This window comes from Homo sapiens, chromosome 3 (assembly GCF_000001405.40).
Source record: "Homo sapiens chromosome 3, GRCh38.p14 Primary Assembly".
Lineage (NCBI taxonomy): Eukaryota > Metazoa > Chordata > Mammalia > Primates > Hominidae > Homo > Homo sapiens.
In genome coordinates, this window is record NC_000003.12 from 22788744 (window position 1) to 22815705 (window position 26962).

At 38.5% G+C, this 26962-nt stretch overlaps 1 pseudogene, besides 1 other annotated feature; it reads right to left on the reverse strand.

The window, feature by feature from the left end:
* Positions 12921-13518: an enhancer, noted in NCBI's record as "H3K27ac-H3K4me1 hESC enhancer chr3:22843155-22843752 (GRCh37/hg19 assembly coordinates)". NCBI's record gives its function as "activates a minimal SCP1, AML or CMV promoter by ChIP-STARR-seq in primed H9 embryonic stem cells {active_cell/tissue: H9 hESC(primed)}" and the evidence as "EXISTENCE:reporter gene assay evidence [ECO:0000049][PMID:30033119]".
* On the reverse strand, positions 22893-23713 carry RRBP1P2 (RRBP1 pseudogene 2; annotated as a pseudogene).

Consider the following 26962-nt stretch of genomic DNA (forward strand, 5'->3'; position numbering starts at 1 on the left):
GCAAATTCTGAAAAAAAAATTAACAAAATACTCCTGGAACTAATACATGATTATAGCATGGATGCAGGATATAAGGTTAATATACAAAAGTCAATTATTTCCTCACACAGATCCACAATTAACAATTGAATTTAAAATTAAAGACAAAATACCATTTACATTAGCACCAAAAACAAAATATTTAAGTATAAATTTAACAAAATACCTGCACAATCTATGTGAAAAAAATAACAAAACTCTGATGAAATAAGTCAAAGAAGACTGATATGTTTTGGCTCTATGTCCCCACCCAACTCTCACCTTGAATTGTAATAATACCCATGCGTCAAGGGTGGGACCAAGTGGAGATAATTGAATCATGGGGGTGGATTTCTCATGCTGTTCTCAAGAATTGAATTATGGGGGTGGTTTTCTCCATGCTGTTCTCAAGATAGTGAGTTCTCATGAGATCTGATCGTTTTATCAAAAGTTTCCCCTTCACTGAGTACTTCTCCTTCCTGCCACCATGTGAAGAAGGACATGTTTTCTTACTCTTCCACCATGATTGTAAGTTTCCTGAGGCCTCCCCAGCCATGTTGAACTGTGAGTCAACTAAAACTCTTTTCTTTATAAATTACCCAGTCTTGGATATGTCTTAACTAGCAGCATGAGAATGGACTAATACAAAGACCTGTGTAACTAGATAGATACTTCATTTCGCTAATAGGAAAATTCAATATTGTTTAAAATGTCAATTCTTCCCAATTTAATCTATAAATTGAATGCAATTCCAATCAAAATCCCAGAAAGTTATTTTGTGGATATCCAACAGATTCTAATTCTAATTCTAAAGCAAAGAACCAAGAATAGACAATACAATATTAAAGAAAAGTAATAAAGTCAGGGGATGGAAAAAATGTAACTTTAAGACTTACTATAAAGCTACAGTAATCAAGTCGGTGTGATATTGGCAGAAGCATAAACAAATACATCAATGAAACAGAATAGACAGCCCAGAAATAGACTCACATAAATATAATCATCAAGTGATCTTTGAGAAAAGAGCAAAGGCAATACAATGGAGAAAAGAGAACCTTTTCAATAAATGGTGCTAGAACAACTGGATATTTACATGCAAGATTCAATAAGTGGTGCTAGAAAAACTGGATATTCACATGTAGGATAAATGAATCTAGACTCAAGGTCTTATATTCTTTGCAAAAATTAACTCAAAATGGATCATAGATCTAAATGTAAAAAACAAAACTGTAAAACCCCTAGAGGATAACATAGGTGAAAATCAAGACCTTGTGTTTTATGATGACTTTTTAGATACAACACCAATAGTATTATTCATGAAAAAAAGAATGATAAACTGGACTTCATTAAAATTAAAAATTTCTGGCCTGTAAAAGACATTGTCAAAAAATAAAAACACAAGAAACAGACTGGGAGAACATACTTGCAAAAGACATATCTGATAAAGGATTGTTATCCAACTATACATGTTACTCTTAAAACCTAACAATTGGAAAACAAAGGGCTTTTGCCCTTTATTCTGCTAATATGGTGTATTTTATTTGAATATGCATTTCTCCAAAATGATATATGTCTCACAAACACATAAAATATGTTAAACCTTATTAGTCACTAGGAAAATGCAAATTAAAATCATAAGAAACTAACACTTCATACCCACAAGAAGGGCTATAACTAAAAGACAAACAATAATAGTCTTAGGAAGGCTATAAATAAACTGAACTGTAACCCTAAAATTTTCTAATGGGAATAAAAAATTCTTCAGTCCCTTTGGAATTTAGTTTGGAATTTTCACAGAAAGTTAAACCTTAACATAATGTTCTCCAGTTCCATCCATGTCATTGCAAATGACAGGATTTCATTTATTTTATGGCTGAATAATATTTCATTGTGTATATGTACCATATTTACTTTATCCATTCATTTGTTTATGGACACTTAGGTTGATTTCATATCTGGCTATTGTGGATAATACTACAATAAACATGAGAATGCAGATATCTCTTCAATATACTGAAGTCCTTTCTTTTGGATGTATACCCAGCAGCGTGTTAAGTGAAATAAGCCAGACACAGAAAGACGATGTCACACGTTCTCACTAATACTTGAGAGCTAAAAAAATTTATCTAATGGAGTTAGCGAATAGAACGATGGCTACCAGAGGCTAGGAAGGGTATTAGGAAGGAAAATAAAGAGGGTTTGGTTAATGGGTACAAAAATGCAGATAGTAGGAATAAGATCTACTGGTCAGTAGCAAAATAGGGCAATTATCATTAACAATAGTTTATGGTATAATTCAAAATAGCTAGAGGAGTGGATTTACAGTGTTCCCAACACAAAGAAATGATCTGCATTTGAGGTGATGGACATCCCAATTATCCTGATGTGATCATTACACATTATATGCTTATGTCAAAATATCACATGTATCCTATAAATATGTACAACTATTGTACACTCATAAAAATTAAAAATAAGAAAAAATTTAAAACAATAAGTTAAACCTAAATGTACTGTATTATTCAAAATTCTGCCAAAGTATCAACCCATGAAAAATGGAAATACATGTCTACGTAAAGGTTTGTATTGAAATGTTTATAGAGATATTATTTGGAACAGCCTAAAATTGGAAATGTTCTTAATATCCCAAGAACAGGAAATGTCTACCTACAATGTGATACATCCATACAATGGCGTACTACTCAGCAATAAAACTGAACAAAGTACTCCTACGTGCTATAACACAAATAACTTCAAAAATATTATGCAGAGTGAAAGAATCCGGTCACAAAAGACTACATGTGTTACATCCAGAGAAAGCTAAATCTAAAGCAAATTAGTGGTCACTTGGGGCCAGGGGTAGGAATACGAATTGACTGTAGATGGACATAAGAGACAGTGTTGGGGTGATGAAAATATTTTAAAGCTGTATTCTGGTAATGTTTGTACAACTCTATGAACTTATTAAAAGTTATTTACTTGTAGTGTGTAAATTATATTTCAATAAAACCCTTCAAGAATAAAATGCAAATAAGAACTGGCTGAACACTGAACTGAACTGTAACCCTCAAAAATTTATAATGGGAATAAAAAATTGTTCCATATTTTTTCCACACACAAATTGTATCCATATTTTTTCAATTCTTGCTTTCCTTCCTCCAGAAGGCATGTTCTGCCTCATTTATTATTATCTCCCCGCCTGTACCCACGACATATCTCCTTCAAGCCCGTTCAATATTTCCCACTAACAATTCATTTCCTACTTCTCCTATATTTTAATCTTCTCTCTATTAGCTCCTTTTCCATGAATGTATATTAAGCTCATTTCTCCCATAATTAAACAAATAATAAACTTCCATTTTTCCTGAATGTGTCTCTAGTCTGCCTCCTTTCCATCTTCTAAAAATATGTTTAAAGACAGGTAGTTTTCAGTTGCTGCCTCTATCTCTCCATGCTCCTGTTGTCCATTTCTTCAACTCACTGAAATCTGGCTTCGTTTTCTATACTCAGTTACTCAAGTGAACTCAAAAAGGTCACTGATTACCTCATACTTCCTAATATAATGCATATGTATTAATCCAATCTTGTTGGACTTTTCTTAGGCACTTGACCTTATTTATCATTGCCTAATTAAATTTATCTATTATCTTTAGATTCTAGATAACATTTATCTTTTTTGAGCCTAACCATTCACTGTTTATTATATTCTTTTATATTTACTTTCCTTTAGAGTTCTATCCTCAGTCACTTTCATACTAATTATATATAGTCTCCTTAGATAATTCCATGAGCTCGTTTCTAACAATCATCTTACACTAGATTGATTGCATTAGTAGTTCACACGCTATGTTCACACCCTTTGTCATGTAACCTTGTAAAATGCTACCACTCCGACTCTGCACCTAGCTGTGCGACCTGCTTTACCCAATGGAATGTTAGCCAATATAATGAGTGCAGAAGCTTAAAAGCATTCATATGAATGGGCTGGGAAGCTCTAGCCCCTCACCCATTGCTCTGAGAATAAGCAGAGCAGCTACTAGTAAAAGGAGAGCACGTGGAAAGACTTCCTAGTTGTCTCAGCCAAAAGCATTCTAAATGGGCTCTCAGACAGAGAATCCCAGACAGAGAATGAGGCCAGCCCAGACAAGTCTCACAGATACAAATTCAACAAATGTTCATTATTGTATGCCACTGAAGTTTTTTTGTTACATAGCATTATAATAGCTATGGATAACTGATACACACCCTCTATGGTAGAAACGAGAAAATCTGCGTTTCCCCATGATGACTCTCTGAGCTTCACACCGGGGAATAGCTCGAGCTGAATGTCTCACAAGCATCTCAAATTAACATAAATATAACTGAGCTCATGATCTTTCCCATCTAATGAGACTGATTCTTCCTTAAATTATCTATCTCCACTTTCAGTACCACTATCCAATCCAGCCAACCAAGCTAGATCCAGGAGTCATCCGTGCTTGTTCACTCTCCCTTATCCTTTATCTCTAATTCTCTAATGATACAATATATGCTCCAGGGAATTGCAAGCAGCTAGCAGTCATAGGGAAAGGAATGTGTGTGCATGTTTGTGTGTCTATGTGTGTGTTCTGCTTTGGTTAACAAAATCTTCATTAGAATTGATACTGAGATTGACTGAAGTTTGCCTTTACCAAAAGGTCATTGTCTCTAAAAGCTTGAAAGTATTTCGTACGTTTCCCCTACTTGTTTAGATGGGGGTTAATTTGTAGTTAAAAATTGCAAAGGGATATAATTTTTGTGAAAATTCCTCCCAAATGTTAGATATGGAGTTAAAATAAATGATTGATTTTCTTAGCACCAATACTGTTTCTATGATTTTAATAGAAGAAAAATATCTCATTTCATAAAGCTATGTTTCCAATGACTGAAGTTTTGGGGAAATTTTTTGGTGGTTGTAAAAAATCTTCTTTTAACCTTTGGATATGCTTGGAAAAAATTAATTTAGGAAAAGATTAATGAAATGGCTACCAAGGTTGCATATAGGCTGAAGGTGACAATGACAAAATAATGTCTTTTTCAAGCAATATAAAATGTGTATAGGAAAGCAATAAGGCAGGGTAAAATGAATTAAAATGTGCTATACCCCCATTTAAAAATGTTCAGAAAATAACAGCAGGAGAATTTAAGCCTTTTCATGGAATCTAACAGAAAGTGTCCAGAGTCCAGAGATGATGGAAGACAAGTCAGAGGAAAAGCTATGTGAGTCTGAAAAGGAAAACTTTCCAAATTCTTCTGAAAAGAAAGTTAAATGACAATTAAGAAAAAGGCAAAATTTTTTCATTTAAAACTTTGAGACAAATGTAGAGATAGCATAAAAAACTATTAGGAGATGCCCTTCAGCACAGTCTTAATAAGCCAAATGACTTGGTCGAATACATTGTGTTTTATTAGAGTTCTGGTTGTTTTTTATAAAACTATCCAGGCAATACTTTTGTATATAAAAATATTGCCTTAAAAGAAAGTTATGAGTTAAGGAGGCAGCACAGCATAAGAATCGAATTTGAACAGACCTGGCTTTGAAACCTGTTTTCACCAGGTCCTATTTGTTTGGCTTTGACAAGTGTCTTAATCTTCCTAAGCTTTTGTTCTCTACTTTCAAAATAAATTTTAAAACATCAACTTTCAGTGTTGTTGTGAGTATAAAAGCAGATAATACCGGTGAGCTTATAAAAAAGGTGAGCTTATAAAAAAGCAGCTAAGTCACTATACCTCTTGGTAAAATCCAGCAGACTATATGTAAAGCACTTATCACAGTGCCTAGCACATAACAAGTGGTTAATAAATGCTAACTGCTATTACTATTTTTACTTGTGTTAATATAATTATTACTCAAACTCCCAAAAAATATAGTACTTGTAATCTGTAGTGGACATCTTTTATCTGTGGTCACCCAGTATCATCTGAACTTCCACTACAAACTGTGATAGTTCCCACATTGCAAACCCTGCCTTCTTTATTTTGGTGTCCAAAACATTACATTTCCCAAGACTCCTTGCAGTTATGGTACAGATGTGTGGCCAACCCATGTGAAATCAAGGAACTCATGTGAGACCAAGATTCAGAAGTGAGCTGTGAGAGGGAACAAGCTAATGGCAAGACATACATTTTGATGGTACAAAACATTTTGAAATCAGCAGAAAGATCCAAGTATTCTGCCATTGACAGTAACAGTAGGATACTTTCCAGTTCATGGAAAACACATCGTGTTTCTAGGTAGGACAGAGGTAGCAATCCCCTGTCTCAGTGGTGTTGTTCTGGAAGCGGTTCCTGGAAGCTCACCTAATAATTTTAGAGAGCTGGAGAAATAGACTACTGGCTACTGGATAACTCTTAACATTTTTGGTTACACTCATTAGAATGGATTCTGTTCTCTGGAACTAAGAATCCTGACCAATAGGAGTACCAACTTGGAAGTAAGCTCACAAAAGATTCCATCTTGTAAAAGATTCCATCTTGTTTGGCATCTATGAGTAGCAGTAAGGAAGGTTCAGTAGGTGACTATTTGCTATTCTAGGAAAGAATACATCTTCAGGGAATATAAAGAATCCAGATTCACAGGTATTGCTATGGTTTGGCTGTGTCCCCACCTAACATCTCATCTTGAATTGTAATCCCCACAGTCCCCATGTGTAAAGGGCGGGAACAGGTGGAGGTAATTGGATCGTGGGAGTGGTTTACCTCATGCTGTTCTCAGATGGTGAGTGAGTCTCACCAAATCTGATGATTTTATAAGTGCCTGGCATTTCCCCTGTCCTGCATTCACTCTGACCTGTCGCCCTGTGAAGAAGGTGCCTGCTTCTCCTTTGCCTTTCACCATGATTGTAAGTTTCCTGAGGCCTTCCCAGCAATGCAGAACTGTGAGTCAATTAAACCTAATTCTTTTATAAATTACCCCATCTTAGGTATTTCTTCATAGCAGTGTGAGAACAGACTAATACACATATGATACAAAAGAAACGCTTTGGTGTTACAGTGCATGGAAATATATGAATAAAGACAAAGGACAAAATGCCAGTCACTTGGAAGATCTCCTACTCCAGCCTCTGCTTTAACACTTGAGTCTTACAACCAGTGTTTTGAGGAAATACCGAAAATGCCCTTTTACAAATTTTATTTGAGACACTGGGGACAAGAATCAGCACAGGTTTAAGGTCTGCATGACAGAGTTCAGCACTACTGGAAAATGAGGTAGTCTCTCTCACTTGGAGATTTCTCTGAAAAATGAAACAGCTAGAGCAGATTTAAGGGCAAGTCAGATAGGTTCCTCCTGGACCAGTAAAGGAAGATAAGAGGATATGGCATTGACAGTTGAGCACCATCAGAAGATGGCGCTGTCAAGTTTCCACTGTAGCTTTACCCCACTTTTGAGTGGCTTGCAGGCATCTGAGTGCTTACTAAAAATTATGTTTCCCAGGAAACCCAAACATGATTGAAAAATCGATGCCTCATTGTAACCAACAGAATTAGTCATAAGCACATATGTTTGGGAAACAGTTCTGAGTGTGGGACAAGGAAACAACATGTGGAGGTGCTTAAATCTTGTTAGAATACCGTTTTCCTCCATTACTGTGGCTCAGTTTCATGCTTTGATTGGTAGGTTATGAGGGAACATAGGTTGTATTGTGTGCGTTTGTTTTAATGAAGCTCTTTTGAGAGAAAGATCATATGACTCTCAGAAACAGCAGGTCATAAATATATTCAAGGGCATGGTTTGGTAGAGGATATTGTCTCTTTCTCCTGTCACTCTGGGTTCTAGGCTGGGAGGTTCAGAGGTTTCATGTGGAACCGAATCAATAGATCATATAGTCTGCTGGATTTTACCATGAGGTATAGTGACTTAACTACTTTTTATAAGCTCGTCTTTATCCATCCCAGTGGAAGCCTTCAGCTGGGCCCATTTGCCTATAGATGACAACACGGAAGACTGTTATGGGACAGAGTTTAAACCAACTCACTGCTGAAGTACTTGCCCTGACCACACGATCCATCTTTGGCTTAGTCTCTAATCCCTTTTCTATTCAATACTGGCCATGGTAGCTGTATTAATTTTCAACCCATGTAGCATGAATGATAGAGACTTATCTGTGAAAGAATAGATTAGCAACACAAAGCATTAAGGATATGGCAGTATTTGAAACTGCATGGTCTTCTGCATAGTCTGCCAAGTACAAGCTTCATCCAGAAGAACTTAAAATTCTGGTGCAGCCATCTACTCTGGTCTAAAAACTACTTTTTTGGCATTTTGGCAATGACCTTAGTAGAAATCTAGCGGTCTTCACACCCATTGGTATAAACATAGACTGTTATATATCATTTCTTTTAAGAAATACATCAGTGAACTGTAATAGTTTGAACTAGAACCTTCCAATATCCACAGAACATTAATTCTATATATATTATTCTCAGAAAGGGCTCTATATTCAACTAACCCCCAACATGAGATGCTGAAGTCTGAAGGGACTGACCCTCTGCTAAAAAAGAAGACATAACCTCATGTGGCCTGATGAGAAGTCATCTTATACTTCAGTAATCAGGCCACATGAGATTATGTCTTCTTTTTTAGACATAAGGCCTAGATGGTAATATAAGAAAACATTATACTGGGGCAGCAGGCAGAAAAGGGGCATTAAGCTTCTTGTGGAAACATAAAATTCTAAAAACTACAGCACACTATACCGACCCCTGCAGAGAAACTTTTGAATTTTGGCTGTAACATACCACTGGGATGCTGAATGTATTTCTACTAGCTAAGAGAAAAAAGAACAGAAAGCCAATAAAAAACGTATTGCCTATCATCTGTGCATTCTGGATAGATAATTCTCCATAACTTTGATGGCATACTTATGGATGCTTAAACAGATGGTGACATGAGTCAATTTCCTTTAGACTCATCAAAAGTAAAGGAATATAATCATTGCTTATTTATTAGGACAATTCTAGTTGTTATAATGCAAAAAGCGTGATAAATAAAACACAACAATTGTTAATTTTTTGCTTAAAGTAAGTTCCAAAATGGGAAAGATTGTGAGAGGGAAAAGCCTCTGTCTGGTTTCTGAGATATGGCCTGTAACCCTAGTAAGAATATTCAATTCCCAGCCCCTGTAGCCGTCTCATCATACTGACTTTGTCCTGCAAAGGGGTTGCATCCTTAGAAAATTCCTATCAGGGCATGAAGTGGAAAGTCCCACCATTGTGCTATTTTTATTTTCAGTAGGGCCACAATATTCTGACATATTATAATGTATCTTCCTGGTAATCCAGAAAAGCACTCAATCTCAAAAGGGAACAAAAGTCACCCTGGACCAGAGATGATAATCACAATATTTAAAAATTGGCCCAACATGAGCTCTGAGCACAATTCAGATGTCACACAATTAAAAATGAGGCTAATCACAATCCTGCACCCATTTATATAAACTGACAGTAACCCTGCTCTCTTTTCACACTGGGGGATGATGAAGAAAGCCTCCAGGTACCTGGGAGCTCAGATTACAGAAGTGTGTCTGGAATCTGAGGATAGGTTTCTGATGTAAGGTAGAAAACCAGTCATATCAACCAGTCTCAACTGTATTCATTGTTCAGTTCCTTTAAGCCAAAAGCCTCTACCCGCCCCTAGTTCCTGAGGGAAATTTGAATAGGAACATGGCTGAATCTGGGAGCTTCCTGTTCAGGGAATATGTATCTGTTCCTGCAAGAACCTCTGCAGAGTTCAGAATTTTGGTAGGGAAGGAATGAGAGCTTATTCTATGTAGCAGAAGTTCATAAATACTGTTGGGGTCAGAATTGATGTACCTCGCACCTGGCATCAAGGAAAATAGACTCCTACACAGGCCCACCTTGTTTAGCAGATGGAAATCAGGACCACGGAGAGCCATGCCCAAGAAAATAATATAATTGTTTCAGTAAAAATTTTCTGTTCCTTTCCTATTCCCCATCTTATCTCTATCTTCTCTGAGATAAGAAAGAGTGGTGAGAGAGTGTGTCAGGAGTCATGCTTCAAGCCCAAGTTGTGCTGTCCTGGAGTAAACAAGATCAGCGCTCCCCCTGTATCTCCTAGGATCTCTATTATATCATTTTCATGCACGCTCACCCCCAGCTTTGGGATGCTTTCAACAGGAAGGGCCTTTGGAGGAGGAAGACTGCCCTCAGATCACTAGAGCCACTTTGCCTCCAGACACAGAGAGTTGGAAGTGCTTGGGATTTTATGTTTACATGGATCAGCCATTAGTCAATGACTAACATGTATGAGTGCCCAGCTCCCTTGCCTTGGTTTTTGACAACTCCGAGGTGTATCCTATACCCAGCATTCCACCAAAGGATCTAGGTGAAGCTAACCTCCATGGAATTTTGCCTGAGACCTCACTCTTCTTTAGCTTCTTCCTCTGTCCCAGGCCCCCATCCTTTTCTAGGTTATCTTGAACACTTCTGTAATGAATCAATTGCACACAAACGTCATCCCAGGATCTGTTTCTAGGGAACCTAACCTAACATGCTGGGATGCAAAAGGCAACTTTGGCCATAAGGGACGTATCTAATACTCATAAATTCAACAAAAGGTATCTAATACTCGTAGGTTCAAGACTGAGAAATTCATGGCATTTTTGAGAAGTCACTAGTTAGGTCTTCTTTGTTCCTTGGAAACAATGAAAACTAATTAGAATTTTTTATAAGAAGAAAAATGATACATATATTTTAAAGTCACAAGAATCATACTCTTTTGGCCTGGATTCTTGTATTCTTTCACTTCCCCTAAATTATCCAGCAAATAAGAAACCTTCCACTTGAAGATAAAACCAAGATAAATGTGTCTCCTTCAGTTTCTAATGAATAGAACTGAGAAACTGCACAAGATAAATATAAGCTCCAATGAGGCCTTTAAGCAAGGGCACTTAATTAGCTGGGTTAATAGAGGGAAGAAAGGCCATAGATAATCCAAATCAATATGTTATTCAAAAATAATTTATAATTGCTTTATTTAAACAAGTTTATTTTTCTATTTGTCTTGCTTTATGCAAATATCCAGGTAAACTTTCCTTCCCTAAGCACGTATTAGCTAGGGCCAAGAAAATGGCCAGAAACCACAATAAATAGTGAAGGTCTCAGGATATACTTTGCCATTGTGAGTGCATGAAGCAGATTTGCCTCATGTAGATTATCGAGAATTGAATGTAAGTAAACACCATAAACGACAACATTTCTCATTAGATTCAACGTTGGTTAGAATTATTTCACTCAAAACTCCAGGAACAGAGAAATGACTTAATGACGGAATACCTAATAATTTTCTTTCCTATAAGGAACTGCTAAGAACAGAAGCAGTAATTTCCAGAGAGGAGCTTTATTTTTACTCTTTAAAAAATGTTTTAATGGACAGTACTAAGTTACAAATAAAAAGTCTGAGTTATATATTGCATGGGTGTTAAAATTGTTAGCAATTTTTAAAATGTTAATGTGTGGACTAGTTACTTTATTTATTTAGATGGCATTTTCCTACGATAGAGTACTGAAATTGAAAGCAGATTCTCAATAGTGGATATTGTTAAAGACTGTCATTTTTAAACTCAATTATGAGAAAAGAAAACTGTTTCAGAAACTAATTGATTTGGGATATTTAATTACTAATAAAAGAACCTTTGGATGAATGTAGGCTACCAAAAGGACAGAGTTGACTGAGTCATATTAATTTTGACAAATTTATACAATCAACATCTTGCAGTGTTCCACAGTTAGAAAACAAACTTGAGACAAACTTGAAAAGCTGAAAAATAAACTTCAGAAAAAAAGATGCAATGAGAGATTTTGAGTGAGAATTATTAATAAATCACTATTACAAAAATAAAAAGCATCTGTGTTTTTAGCTTATAAACTTTAACTGGTTAGGGCATGCCAGTGAATATTAAAGAAGAGAATGCACTTGTATTTATTAAGTGGGGTATCATTTCACAATGCTCACCTCTTTGGGGAAAGTCTAATACCATTGACCATGGCACAAAGAAAACATCCTTGAGGAAGGTGGGATCATATAAAAGGATACATAGAATCACCTGTAGAGATTTTTAATTTATCTTCCCCTACTCCAGGATTCCAGGATTCTGAATCAGCCCGTCATCTCAGAGTGAGAATCATGTTCTAGAGGCCCCAGTATTACTGAGAGGGGGGTGCTATATTTGACATATTCGATGGGCAAAAGATTGAGAAACAAAGAAAGAAGCACACAGGTTAAAATTGCTAGCCCTTGAGATTGGGATTATACAGGAAGGTATTCAATGTGAGTCAAGCCTTGAGCACCTACAATGTTCTAGGCATTCTTCAAGGTGCTGGGATCCAAGTGCTGAACAAGAGGGAAAAGATCCCTGCTCTCCTGAAAGTTGTACAGTACTTTGTTAAAATTAAATTTTTATCAAATTCACATACTACTTATATATGCCAGGTACTGATCTATAAAAGTAATACTTTAATCCTTATAACAACTTTATTAGGTAGATATTCTAAATGTTCCCATTCTACAGATGAGGGACCTGAATCAAAGCTAGTAAGTGTCAGAGGCAGGATCAAAACAGAAGCCACAAATTGGGATAGGGAGGAGCCAAGATGGCCGAATAGGAACAGCTCCAGTCTACAGCTCCCAGCGTGAGCGACACAGAAGATGGGTGATTTCCGCATTTCCATCTGAGGTACCAGGTTCATCTCACTAGGGAGTGCCAGACAGTGGGCGCAGGCCAGTGGGTGCGCGCACCGTGCATGAGCCGAAGCAGGGCGAGGCATTGCCTCACCTGGGAAGCGCAAGGGGTCAGGGAGTTCCCTTTCCGAGTCAAAGAAAGGGGTGACGGACGCACCTGGAAAATCGGATCACTCCCACCCGAATATTGAGCTTTTCAGACCGGCTTAAAAAACGGCGCACCACGAGACTATATCCCACACCTGGCTCGGAGGGTCCTACGCCCACGGAATCTCGCTGATTGCTAGCACAGCAGTCTGAGATCAAACTGCAAGGCGGCAGCGAGGCTGGGGGAGGGGCACCCGCCATTGCCCAGGCTTGCTTAGGTAAACAAAGCAGCCGGGAAGCTCCAACTGGGTGGAGCCCACCACAGCTCAAGGAGGCCTGCCTGCCTCTGTAGGCTCCACCTCTGGGGGCAGGGCACAGACAAACAAAAAGACAGCAGTAACCTCTGCAGACTTAAATGTCCCTGTCTGACAGCTTTGAAGAGAGCAGTGGTTCTCCCAGCACGCAGCTGGAGATCTGAGAACGGGCAGACTGCCTCCTCAAGTGGGTCCCCGACCCCTGACCCCCGAGCAGCCTAACTGGGAGGCACCCCCCAGCAGGGGCACACTGACACCTCACACGGGAGGGTATTCCAACAGACCTGCAGCTGAGGCTCCTGTCTGTTAGAAGGAAAACTAACAAACAGAAAGGACATCCACACTGAAAACCCATCTGTACATCACCAGCATCAAAGACCAAAAGTAGATAAAACCACAAAGATGGGGAAAAAAACAGAACAGAAAAACTGGAAACTCTAAAACGCAGAGCGTCCCTCCTCCTCCAAAGGAACGCAGTTCCTCACCAGCAACGGAACAAAGCTGGATGGAGAATGACTTTGACGAGCTGAGAGAAGAAGGCTTCAGACGATCAAATTACTCTGAGCTACGGGAGGACATTCAAACCAAAGGCAAAGAAGTTGAAAACTTTGAAAAAAATTTAGAAGAATGTATAACTAGAATAACCAATACAGAGAAGTGCTTAAAGGAGCTGATGGAGCTGAAAACCAAGGCTCGAGAACTACGTGAAGAATGCAGAAGTCTCAGGGGCCGATGCGATCAACTGGAAGAAAGGGTATGAGCAATGAAAGATGAAATGAATGAAATGAAGCGAGAAGGGAAGTTTAGAGAAAAAAGAATAAAAAGAAATGAGCAAAGCCTCCAAGAAATATGGGACTATGTGAAAAGACCAAATCTACGTCTGATTGGTGTACCTGAAAGTGATGGGGAGAATGGAACCAAGTTGGAAAACACTCTGCAGGATATTATCCAGGAGAACTTCCCCAATCTAGCAAGGCAGGCCAACATTCAGATTCAGGAAATACAAAAAACGCCACAAAGATACTCCTCGAGAAGAGCAACTCCAAGACACATAATTGTCATATTCACCAAAGTTCAAATGAAGGAAAAAATGTTAAGGGCAGCCAGAGAGAAAGGTCGGGTTACCCTCAAAGGGAAGCCCATCAGACTAACAGCGGATCTCTCAGCAGAAACCCTACAAGCCAGAAGAGAGTGGGGGCCAATATTCAACATTCTTAAAGAAAAGAATTTTCAACCCAGAATTTCATATCCAGCCAAACTAAGCTTCATAAGTGAAGGAGAAATAAAATACTTTACAGACAAGCAAATGCTGAGAGATTTTGTCACCACCAGGCCTGCCCTAAAAGAGCTCCTGAAGGAAGCACTAAACATGGAAAGGAACAACCGGTACCAGCCGCTGCAAAATCATGCCAAAATGTAAAGACCATCGAGACTAGGAAGAGACTGCATCAACTAACGAGCAAAATCACCAGCTAACATCATAATGACAGGATCAAATTCACACATAACAATATTAACTTTAAATGTAAATGGACTAAATTCTCCAATTAAAAGACACAGACTGGCAAATTGGATAAAGAGTCAAGACCCATCAGTGTGCTGTATTCAGGAAACCCATCTCACGTGCAGAGACACACATAGGCTCAAAATAAAAGGATGGAGGAAGATCGACCAAGCAAATGGAAAACAAAAAAAGGCAGGGGTTGCAATCCTAGTCTCTGATAAAACAGACTTCAAACCAACAAAGATCAAAAGAGACAAAGAAGGCCATTACATAATGGTAAAGGGATCAATTCAACAAGAAGAGCTAACTATCCTAAATATATATGCACCCAATACAGGAGCACCCAGATTCATAAAGCAAGTCCTGAGTGACCTACAAAGAGACTTAGACTCCCACACATTAATAATGGGAGACTTTAACACCTCACTGTCAACATTAGACAGATCAACGAGACAGAAAGTCAACAAGGATACCCAGGAATTGAACTCAGCTCTGCACCAAGCGGACCTAATAGACATCTACAGAACTCTCCACCCCAAATCAACAGAATATACATTTTTTTCAGCACCACACCACACCTATTCCAAAATTGACCACATAGTTGGAAGTAAAGATCTCCTCAGCAAATGTAAAAGAACAGAAATTATAACAAACTATCTCTCAGACCACAGTGCAATCAAACTAGAACTCAGGATTAAGAATCTCACTCAAAGCCGCTCAACTACATGGAAACTGAACAACCTGCTCCTGAATGACTACTGGGTACATAACGAAATGAAGGCAGAAATAAAGATGTTCTTTGAAACCAACGAGAACAAAGACACAACATACCAGAATCTCTGGGATGCATTCAAAGCAGTGTGTAGAGGGAAATTTATAGCACTAAATGCCCACAAGAGAAAGCAGGAAAGATCCAAAATTGACACCCTAACATCACAATTAAAAGAACTAGAAAAGCAAGAGCAAACACATTCAAAAGCTAGCAGAAGGCAAGAAATAACTAAAATCAGAGCAGAACTGAAGGAAATAGAGACACAACAAACCCTTCAAAAAATCAATGAATCCAGGAGCTGGTTTTTTGAAAGGATCAACAAAATTGATAGACCACTAGCAAGACTAATAAAGAAAAAAAGAGAGAAGAATCAAATAGACACAATAAAAAATGATAAAGGGGATATCACCACCGATCCCACAGAAATACAAACTACCATCAGAGAATACTACAAACACCTCTACGCAAATAAACTAGAAAATCTAGAAGAAATGGATACATTCCTCGACACATACACTCTCCCAAGACTAAACCAGGAAGAAGTTGAATCTCTGAATAGATCAATAACAGGAGCTGAAATTCTGGCAATAATCAATAGTTTACCAACCAAAAAGAGTCCAGGACCAGATGGATTCACAGCCGAATTCTACCAGAGGTACAAGGAAGAACTGGTACCATTCCTTCTGAAACTATTCCAATCAATAGAAAAAGAGGGAATCCTCCCTAACTCATTTTATGAGGCCAGCATCATTCTGATACCAAGGCCGGGCAGAGACACAATCAAAAAAGAGAATTTTAGACCAATATCCTTGATGAACATTGATGCAAAAATCCTCAATAAAATACTGGCAAACCGAATCCAGCAGCACATCAAAAAGCTTATCCACCATGATCAAGTGGGCTTCATCCCTGGGATGCAAGGCTCCTTCAATATACGCAAATCAATAAATGTAATCCAGCATATAAACAGAGCCAAAGACAAAAACCACATGATTATCTCAATAGATGCAGAAAAAGCCTTTGACAAAATTCAACAACCCTTCATGCTAAAAACTCTAAAGAAATTAGGTATTGATGGGACGTATTTCAAAATAACAAGAGCTATCTATGACAAACCCACAGCCAACATCATACTGAATGGGCAAAAACTGGAAGCATTCCCTTTGAAAACTGGCACAAGACGGGGATGCCCTCTCTCACCACTCCTATTCAACATAGTGTTGGAAGTTCTGGCCAGGGCAATTAGGCAAGAGAAGGAAATAAAGGGTATCCAATTAGGAAAAGAGGAAGTCAAATTGTCCCTGTTTGCAGACGACATGATTGTATATCTAGAAAACCCCATTGTCTCAGCCCAAAATCCCCTTAAGCTGATAAGCAACTTCAGCAAAGTCTCAGGATACAAAATCAATGTACAAAAATCACAAGCATTCTTATACACCAACAACAGACAAACAGGGAGCCAAATCATGAGTGAACTCCCATTCACAATTGCTTCAAAGAGAATAAAATACCTAGGAATCCAACTTACAAGGGATGTGAAGGACCTCTTCAAGGAGAACTACAAACCACTGCTCAACGAAATAAAAGAGGATAAAAACAAATGGAAGAACATTTCATGCTCACGGGTAGGAAGAATCAATATCGTGAAAATGGCCATACTGCCCAAGGTAATTTACAGATTCAATGCCATTCCCATCAAGCTACCAATGACTTTCTTCACAGAACTGGAAAAAACTACTTTAAAGTTCATATGGAACCAAAAAAGAGCCCGCATTGCCAAGTCAATCCTAAGCCAAAAGAACAAAGCTGGAGGCATCACGCTACCTGACTTCAAACTATACTACAAGGCTACAGTAACCAAGACAGCTACAGTACCAAAGCAGAGATATAGACCAATGGAACAGAACAGAGCCCTCAGAAATAATGCCGCATACCTACAACTATCTGATCTTTGACAAACCTGAGAAAAACAAGCAATGGGGAAAGGATTCCCTATTTAATAAATGGTGCTGGGGAAACTGGCTAGCCATATGTAGGAAGCTGAAACTGGATCCCTTCCTTACACCTTATACAAAAATCAATTCAAGATGGATTAAAGATTTAAACGTTAGACCTAAAACCATAAAAACCCTAGAAGAAAACCTAGGCATGACCATTCAGGACATCGGCATGGGCAAGGACTTCATGTCCAAAACACCAAAAGCAATGGCAACAAAAGCCAAAATTGACAAATGGGATCTAATTAAACTAAAGAGCTTCCGCACAGCAAAAGAAACTACCATCAGAGTGAACAGGCAACCTACAAAATGGGAGAAAATTTTCGCAACCTACTCATCTGACAAAGGGCTGATATCCAGAATCTACAATGAACTCAAACAAATTTACAAGAAAAAAACAAACAACCCCATCAAAAAGTGGGCGGACATGAACAGACACTTCTCAAAAGAAGACATTTATGCAGCCAAAAAACACATGAAAAAATGCTCATCATCACTGGCCATCAGAGAAATGCAAATCAAAACCACAATGAGATACCATCTCACACCAGTTAGAATGGCAATCATTAAAAAGTCAGGAAACAACAGGTGCTGGAGAGGATGTGGAGAAATAGGAACACTTTTACACTGTTGGTGGGACTGTAAACTAGTTCAACCATTGTGGAAGTCAGTGTGGCGATTCCTCAGGGATCTAGAACTAGAAATACCATTTGACCCAGCCATCCCATTACTGGGTATATACCCAAAGGACTATAAATCATGCTGCTATAAAGACACATGCACACGTATGTTTATTGCGGCATTATTCACAATAGCAAAGACTTGGAACCAACCCAAATGTCCATCAATGATAGACTGGATTAAGAAAATGTGGCACATATACACCATGGAATACTATGCAGCCATAAAAATTGATGAGTTCATGTCCTTTGCAGGGACATGGATGAAATTGGAAATCATCATTCTCAGTAAACTATCGCAAGAACAAAAAACCAAACACCGCATATTCTGACTCATAGGTGGGAATTGAACAATGAGATCACATGGACACAGGAAGGGGAATATCACACTCTGGGGACTGTGGTGGGGTGGGGGGAGTGGGGAGGGATAGCACTGGGAGATATACCTAATGCTAGATGACGAGTTAGTGGGTGCAGCGCACCAGCATGGCAGATGTATACATATGTAACTAACCTGCACAATGTGCACATGTACCCTAAAACTTAAAGTATAATAAAAAATTAAAAAAAAAAAAAACAGAAGCCAAATTTTTCCTGATTTTTGCTTTTAACTGCTATGTTATGCTTCTACTGGAAGAAGCAGCTGACACATAAGTTAACAAGAAAATGTCCTATTTATATTAGCCACAAAGGAAAAGAACAATCTGCTCTGTCTCAGCAAGGGTTCAATCAGAGAAGCAGAATTTTCTGACCTTGGTTACAAGGCCTCTGACCATGGTTACAAGACAATATTGAAAAAGCTAGAACCTTCTTCATAGAGACAAAACACATGCACTGGCTCAGTTGCTGCTTCACACCAAGGAAGCGAGTCAGTAGATCAGCAGCAACATGTACTTGCTGCAAAATGGCTGCAATCTCCCTTCCACAGTCCAGCTCTGGAGATAGAATCTCCCTTATAGCTCTCCTTAACCAGAAATATGCTAGAAAGGGAAATCTGGGAAATATAGTTCAACCTAGCCAAGTTAATACATCACAAAGTAATTGCATATGCACTGAAAGGGAATCGTAGTGTAGGCTTTGGCAAAGACCATGGTAAACCAATTCCCTGACCTTAGATAATTTAGAATAAGCTGAGGGAAATAACCATTAAAGGAGTGATAACAAATATGATGAATGTCAAAAAAGAGGGCCATAAAGTCTGCTACGAAAACTTGCAACTAGGAGAATTAGGAGGTCAGCAGAGGAGTTGTCACTGAAGAGATGATGTTTCCATTAAAACTTGAGAATTGATTAGTAATTAGCCATTGGGAGTAGAGATTGGAGTGAGAGGTGTGAGGGCATTTTCCAGGTACAGAAGATGTGAACATTTCAAGGACAAGAAGAGAGTGGCTGGAAGCACAGTCTGAAAGGAAAATCAGACCTGTAAAGTAGGTGAGTGGCAACATTATATGAATATATGCTGCAATTTCACTTCTGTTGAAAGCAGAGTCTCAAAAAGGTATTTGTATATTATGTTCATAGCAGCCTCATTCATAATGGCCAAAAAGTGAAATCAACCCAATTACCCATCAGTGGATGAACGGGTAAGCAAAATGTGGTATATACATACAATGGAATATTAGTCTGCCTTACAAAGGAATTCTGAAACATGCTACAACTTGGATGAACCCTGAAGACATGATGCTAAGTGAAATAAGTCAGATACAAAAGGGCAAATATTGTATCATTCCCCTTATGAAGTACCTAGAGTAGGCAAATTCATAAAGATGGAAGATAGAACAGTGATTACCAAGGCATTAGAGGACAGAGATTGGGAGTTAGTGTTTAATAGGTACAGAGTTTCAGTTGGGACCAGTGAAAAAGTTCTGGAGATGTATGATGGTGTTAGTTGCACAACAATGTAAATATACTTAATGACAAAAACTGTATACTTTAAAGTGGCTAAAATGGTACATTTTATTATATACATATTTTACAATAAAAAACTTTTAAGATGTGTGTCCTTAAGGACATTTGCTTCTAAAACAAATTAAAAATCATTAGCATGTGCTAGTTTCTGTATCTTTAATGTACAGAGGGAAAAATAGTTTTCTAAGTTAACCTGTCATTCAGAACAGTTGAAATAAACACATGGAGATTTGTCATATTACAGCCAGCTAGGAAGAATAAGTTCTAGTGTTCTGTAACATTGTAGGATGACTATAGTTAATAATTTGTTGTATATTTTCAAATAGCTAGAAGAGAAGGTTTTGAATGATCAACAAACAAAAAAAAGTTCGAAGTGATAGATATGCTAATTACTCTAATTTGATCATTACGCATTGTATACCTGACTGGAAATATCATATTACACCTCATAAATATGCACAATTATGTGTCAAATATAAAATTTATAAAGAAATTACACCAGATAGAGTTAAATAAGCAAAGCCTGCACACAAGACTATTGCAAGAGAATGAACTCAACTCTGCTGAAACAAAAAGCAGGTGAACTTTCTAAGCACTGGGATGAGCTAGTGGAAGAAAACTGCAGGATGTCAGTAGGGAAGCTGGTCAATTTTACTAGACCATATGTATTTTCTAATTATTGCTTGTAGAAGTTAGGCTCCTACCCTCTCCACAGAAACTGGGAGACGGAGTGTATTTGATGAGTACATTTCAGAGGGATGGCTCCCAAGTCCTTTAGAAAGACATTCCTGAGTTATGAAACTGGCAAGAGCCTGGGAGAAGATTTACATCTCAAAGGGCGGAAAAAGAATTTTCAATTACAACTTTTCTCAAGAATGTTCTAAGAAAAGGAAAAGAAAAAATCTTAAGTTTAAATTTAATCAAGTCTGAGGAACAACAAAAAAATGATTTGTCAGTCAGGCAGCCCTCAGAACCAGAACAAGTTCTGTGAACTCTGGTCAACAATGAGACCAGGCAGCATTTATAGAAAATGTAAGTGAAGTATAGAGACAACTTACACGGTTACAGTTTAATTGGTTGATTGGTTACAGAACCTCCCCCAATTACCTAAAGGTCAACAACTGTGATTGAACCTCATATTGGTTTTGTCTGTGGGGCCTCGTGCAGGAGCTTAGGCCAAATCAATAGCCTCCTCCAAATTTTGTTTAACAATTCTCTTCTTTTGGTCAAGCTCTCATCTCTACAACCTTCTTATCCTCTCAGCTACTTGTCCTACACATTCCCTTCCTCTCACTCTGGAACTGCACTCCAGGACAAAAACTACTCTCCTTTTCCCCTAACAAGAACACATCCTTTATGTAAACTTCATTTACCAAAATTACATCCCAGCCTCCTCACATAAGGAGTTGTTTCCCTTATCATCACCATTCTCAATTGCCATATATTGATTAGAATTTCTAACTCTCAGAAACCTCAACTTCCAGTGAAAACCTAGGAAGTAAGCAATTTTGAAATGTTTCCTATCAGCATTTGGTAGGTGAGCACCATTTTATAACTTTTAGAAATGTGTTTCCTCATAACACAATTTCCACGTTTATTTACAGACCCATATTTAGTTTCTCTATGCTGTATAAAAACAAGATGCCAAAATACATATTATACATGTATACTCAGCAGTTAATGTCTTAGTATTTTAATTTACATAAAAATGACCACAAAATTTTATAAATATCTGTTACTTAATAAACACATTCTTGATAGCTTCTTGGCTACCATTATAGCATTATCTTTCCTGTACAGAAAAGCTATTCAACCAGAAACATAGACCAGTACAATCACAGGCAGTAGCCCCGCCCCATTGTCTGTGGAGGATGTTTCAAGACCCACAAAGGATGTCTGAAACCATGGGTAGTATTAAACCCTACATGTACTATGTTTTTTCCTATATATACCTATGACAAAGTTTAACTTATAGATTAGGTACCGTAAGAGATTAACAATAGTGAAATAGAACAATTACAACAATATACTGCAGTGAAAGCTATGTGAATGTGGTCTCTCAAAATATTGTACTGTATGCACTCACCTATTCTTGGACCACCGTTGACTGTAGGTAACTGAAACCATAGAAAGCAAGACTGTAGATAAGGAAGCACTATTGTATTCGTATCCTGTTTAATGTGGTAATTGAATGAAATCCCACTGTTAATGTTGAAATGGTCCTTCAGGTAGCAGAAAGGTGCCGCCTGGAGATTTGATTGTCTTCCAAGGCTTATGGGTTTGGCAAACCAAATATTAGGCACAAACTATTTTAGCAATTTTGTCACCCCACCGATTTTTTTTATAATTTGGATCATTTTGCCTATTACATGAGTTGTAGAGTTCAAAGTTCTTAACAAGGGAATCTTCAAGGACTCAGGGAGGACCAGGTAGCCATCCAGGCACTGCGTGAGTCCATGCTTAACACTGAATTTACTTTCTTTCAGATACCAATTTTTTTTCTCCAAATCAGGGGCTTTGCGTTGTTTATTACATAGATCATCATAAACATTGACTTGGATCAATCATATAGGTATCATTCTAATTGCACATCCTATCCATTCAGCACTAGCTGATTTAGCATTCCCTTTACAGTTATGGGCTTCACCCTTGGATGCATCTGGCTGAGATTGAGATTCTATCTAAAGTTGCCTCAACCCTGCCACCTCTTTGGTGTAGTTCTGGCCCTCAGTGCTGCAGCTTCCATGTGCTTCTCCAGCTTTGCCTCCAGATGCTAGGTGCATTCCCTCACCTGATCTGAATTTTCATGTTCCCCTTTTAGCTTCTCTACAATACCTTTGAGATGTTTCACTATGACCTGTGACTGCTAGGACTCCTCCTCTGCTGGCCTTCCACCTGTACTCCTCCTGTCATGTAGCCTCTGACTTCGTCAGTTCCTTGCTGAGCTCCTGCCAGAGCTTGGCCAGCTCCACATTCTGCTTGCCGCCCACATGGCTCATGGCTTGGTTCGAGGTATCCCTCAGGATGGAGTTCTGCAGCTGCCCCTGAAGAATCCAGATCTTGCCCTAAATCTGCTGCACCTCCTTCATGTGCTCCCAGTAGTTGGCCCACATGGTCACTTCTGGGCCATCAGCTGCTTTTTCACCTTGGCCTCCCAGACTGCTGTCTTGACATTTTTCACGACATCTCCTTCTAAGTTCCCTCAGTTTGCTCTTGGGGACAGACACATCTTCCCACTCCATGAACAGCAGCTTTTACTTCTCTTCCAGCTGGCATTTTAGAATTGCCACCATATTGCCTTCTGAGTGGGGAAGCAGTTCAATTTGGTCTAAAAGGAGGAGGCTTATTGGTAGACTGGCATAAAAAAATAAAAAATCTCTGTTCCTATGTCTTGTTTGTTTGCCATAAAGGCAGACATATTGGGATAAAGACTTTTTTAGTCTAGGTCTTTTGGTTGTAGGATAAAATAAGGAAATAAGGATGAAAAAGTCCCTTTGGTCTAATCCCTGCAATAGTTGTAATTGGAGGGAAATAAGTTTGTTAGCTTTTGGCAATTTTTCTTATTTTAAAGTCCTCTCAAGGTGTTCAGCTAAAGCTACCAATTCAGCTATATTTATAACTTCCTATCCACTTTATGCTTTTGTTGTTGTTGTTTGTTTTGGTTTTTTGTTTTTTTGTTTTTTTTTTTTTTTTTTTTTTGAGATAGAGTCTCACTCTATTGCCCAGGCAGTAGTGCAGTGGTGCAATTTTACAATTTCGGCTCACCACAACCTCCACCTCAAGGGTTCAAGGGTTCAAGCGTTTCTCCTGTATCAGCCTCCCAAGTAGCTGGGATTACAGGTGCCCGCAGCCACACCCAGCTAATTTTTGTATTTTTAGTAGAGACGTGGTTTCACCATGTTGACCCGGCTGGTCTTGAACTCCTGACCTCAAGTGATCCACCCTCCTTAGCCTCCCAAAGTGCTAGGATTACAGGCATGAGCCCCTGCTCCCAGCCAGTTTATGTTTCTTAATCAGACTGCTACATTTAGGACAAAGTTTGTTTATAAATAAAGCAGTTAATGCCATTTCAGTCTCTCAAGGAAATACTCCCTTGTTGTATTTTAAACACAGAATATTTTACAAATGTTGTTTCTAAATGATCTCCGTAATGTGAAACCAGCTCATCTTTCTTCTGCTTGCAAGAATATGTGTTGGTCCAATCAGTTTTCTGTGGAAAAACCTTAAGGATTGAATTTAAATGGTTTTTAGTGACGCTCCCAGCTCATTTCATGCCTTCTCACGAGGAAGAAGAAGTCTTTAATATCCTGCTCAAGTTCTTTCCATTCTACTGCTGCTATCCATTTACAAGCTTCATCAAGTCCAAATATCATGTAAATAAATTGGTAATCATCAGGGTGTCCTGATGGTAAATTCCTATGAGAATGTTAAATTCCTTTGTAAACTTTTGAGGATTTACTTCTGGATTAGCAGTCTCTTATGATGGCTCTAAGCTCAGCTTTAGACCATGGAGTAAAGTGGTTATGGCAGGTGAGCCTGGTTGTTCAAACGGTCTGACTTTATAAGGCATTTGTTGAACTTCGCCTTTTTAATTATGCTCAAGATGAAAAAAAAATAAGGTAATTGAGCAAAAATATTAGAGGAATCAGGGTATTGGGATAATGATAAGGAGAAGGAGCAGTCAGGATTAATTCAGTCAGAGTACACTCCTATTTCATCATGTCCTCTATTTGTTGCTTAAGCTTTTCATTTGCCTTCTGTAAAGAATCATTTAGAGGCAAATTTTGATTCATTTAATCTATTAGATACCTATGCATATCAATTTAAAAATGTATTCCATGTTTTTGTGGGGATTTTGATCCTTCTTTTTCTAATGTGCCCTGCAAATAATTTTATCCAACTTAAAACTTCCTCATTATGGCCACTTTAAATCTAAGTTATCTCTAGTAAGGTTAACCCATTCTTGTAAAAATGCACATGTATTGAGTCCTTTTTTTTTTTTTTTTTTTTTGAGACAGGATCTCACCCCTGTCACTCAGGATGGAGTGCAGTGAAATAAACATTGCTCGCTGCAGCCTTGACCTCCTGGGCTCAAGTGATCCTCTAGCCTCAGCCTCCCAAAGTGCTGAGATTACAGATGTAAGCCATCGTGCCCAGCCCCTGGGTTCATATTTCTTATACATGAGTTCTAGATAAATGAGTTCTAAGCTCCTTGAATTGAAATAAACCCATTACCAAGCCCACTACTTTAAAAATCCTACCTTAACTCTAATCCAGTTCTGGACCCAGTCCAGTCTCTGTCTGATTCAGTCGGACACCCAGGGTCTTCCTGGAGGACGCCATCCTGTTTCTGTTGCCACTGCTGATCCTAGTTTAGATCTAATTGCTCAAGTAAGCCCAGAAAGTTCAGAACACAAATTAGTGAAAGTTGAAACCTGAGCAAGAACTCACCCACAATCTTCAGTTGCCAAGAGAGATCAATAGACACAGTGGACCCTTGTGGGTACTTCTGTTTGCTCACCCCATGCTCTCTATGGGTTATTGGAGTTCTCCTCTGGATCCTACCAACTATGCCAATCTGTTAAAAGGAAAAACCTTAGACAGTTTAAATTTAACTGAGTTTTAAGGGGGAAAAATGATTTGCAAATCAGATAGCCCTCAGAACCAGAACAGGTTCTAAGAACTCTAGTCAACGACATGATCAGGCAGCAGTTATAGAAAACAGAAGTGAAGCACAGAGGCCACTTAAGTGGTCACAGTTTAATTGGTTAATTGGTTACAGAGCCTTCTGCAATTACCTGAAGCCCAGCTACTTAGATTGAACTTCATACTGGTCTTGTCTATGGGGCCTCATGCAGGAGCTTAGTCCAAATCAATGGTCTCTTACAAAATTTTTTTTTAACAGAGGTCAGGGGCCTAGAGTCAAGAAGAAGCCTGTCTGATGTTTAGTCAAGCAGAGGGAAACATTAAGGTCTTCTTAATCAGAGAAAACCTTAGTCAGACTAAAACATTTGTCAGAATAAAAGAAAAACAAAAAGACTGTCGCCATTTACTCTCAATAAAAAGCTATTAAGCATGTATTTCAGCAAGAATATAATTGAATCAGGAAAGAGGAATGGGAAGCAAGAAACGATGCTTAACAAAGAAACTGGCAAACATATTGGGAAGTTAAAATAAGCATTGAGTTTGAAAGAAGCTTGTAACAAAAATTAAAATTTGCAAGAACTTACAAATGAGATAGAGCCAAAATACATGACAGTGATAACATGCAAGACACTGAATCTGGTTATTAAAGTAGAAGCATTCTAAGATCTCTGGTAGGATATAGAGATATTGCTATATTTTAGAATTAGTCATGTATTTGAGGGTAACTACCAAAATACAAGAAGGAAAATAAACTCTTTCCAAATCAGTAGAGGAGATAGGGGACTAAATAAAGCTCAATCAGAAGCCTACAACCAGAATGTCAATAGAAACCAATGGGCAGACAAAAAAGTCAAAGGACTAGGAAGAGAGAAGCCTAGCAAAACAGAAAACTTGCATAGGATAACCACCCTAGTATAATTAAACACTACTGGGGAAAAAAATGTGGCCCCACACTCACTCTTTCAGCAAAGTCCCAGGTGGGAGCTTAGACTTCCACCCTCACCCAGCTGTAATGAAGCAGCTCCTCCCATACCCAGGGTGGTATCACAGAAGAACAAGTCAGGAGCCAGTACAGAAGAGCAAGTCAGGAGCCAGTACTTTCATCCTAGTCTAGGAAGTGTGAATGAGTATGCACACACACACACAGAGTCAGTTCTGGCCACGTGGAAAGCCTGGACTTCAGCCTCCCTCTCCCATTAATAAGGCCCTCCTTCCTATTTCCACAGGGGTAGCATTAGACGAGGCTGAGTGGGGAGACCATCCCTCAGCACCCCCATCTCCCTGGTGTCTGCAGCAGTAACAAGGTACCCTTCTCCTG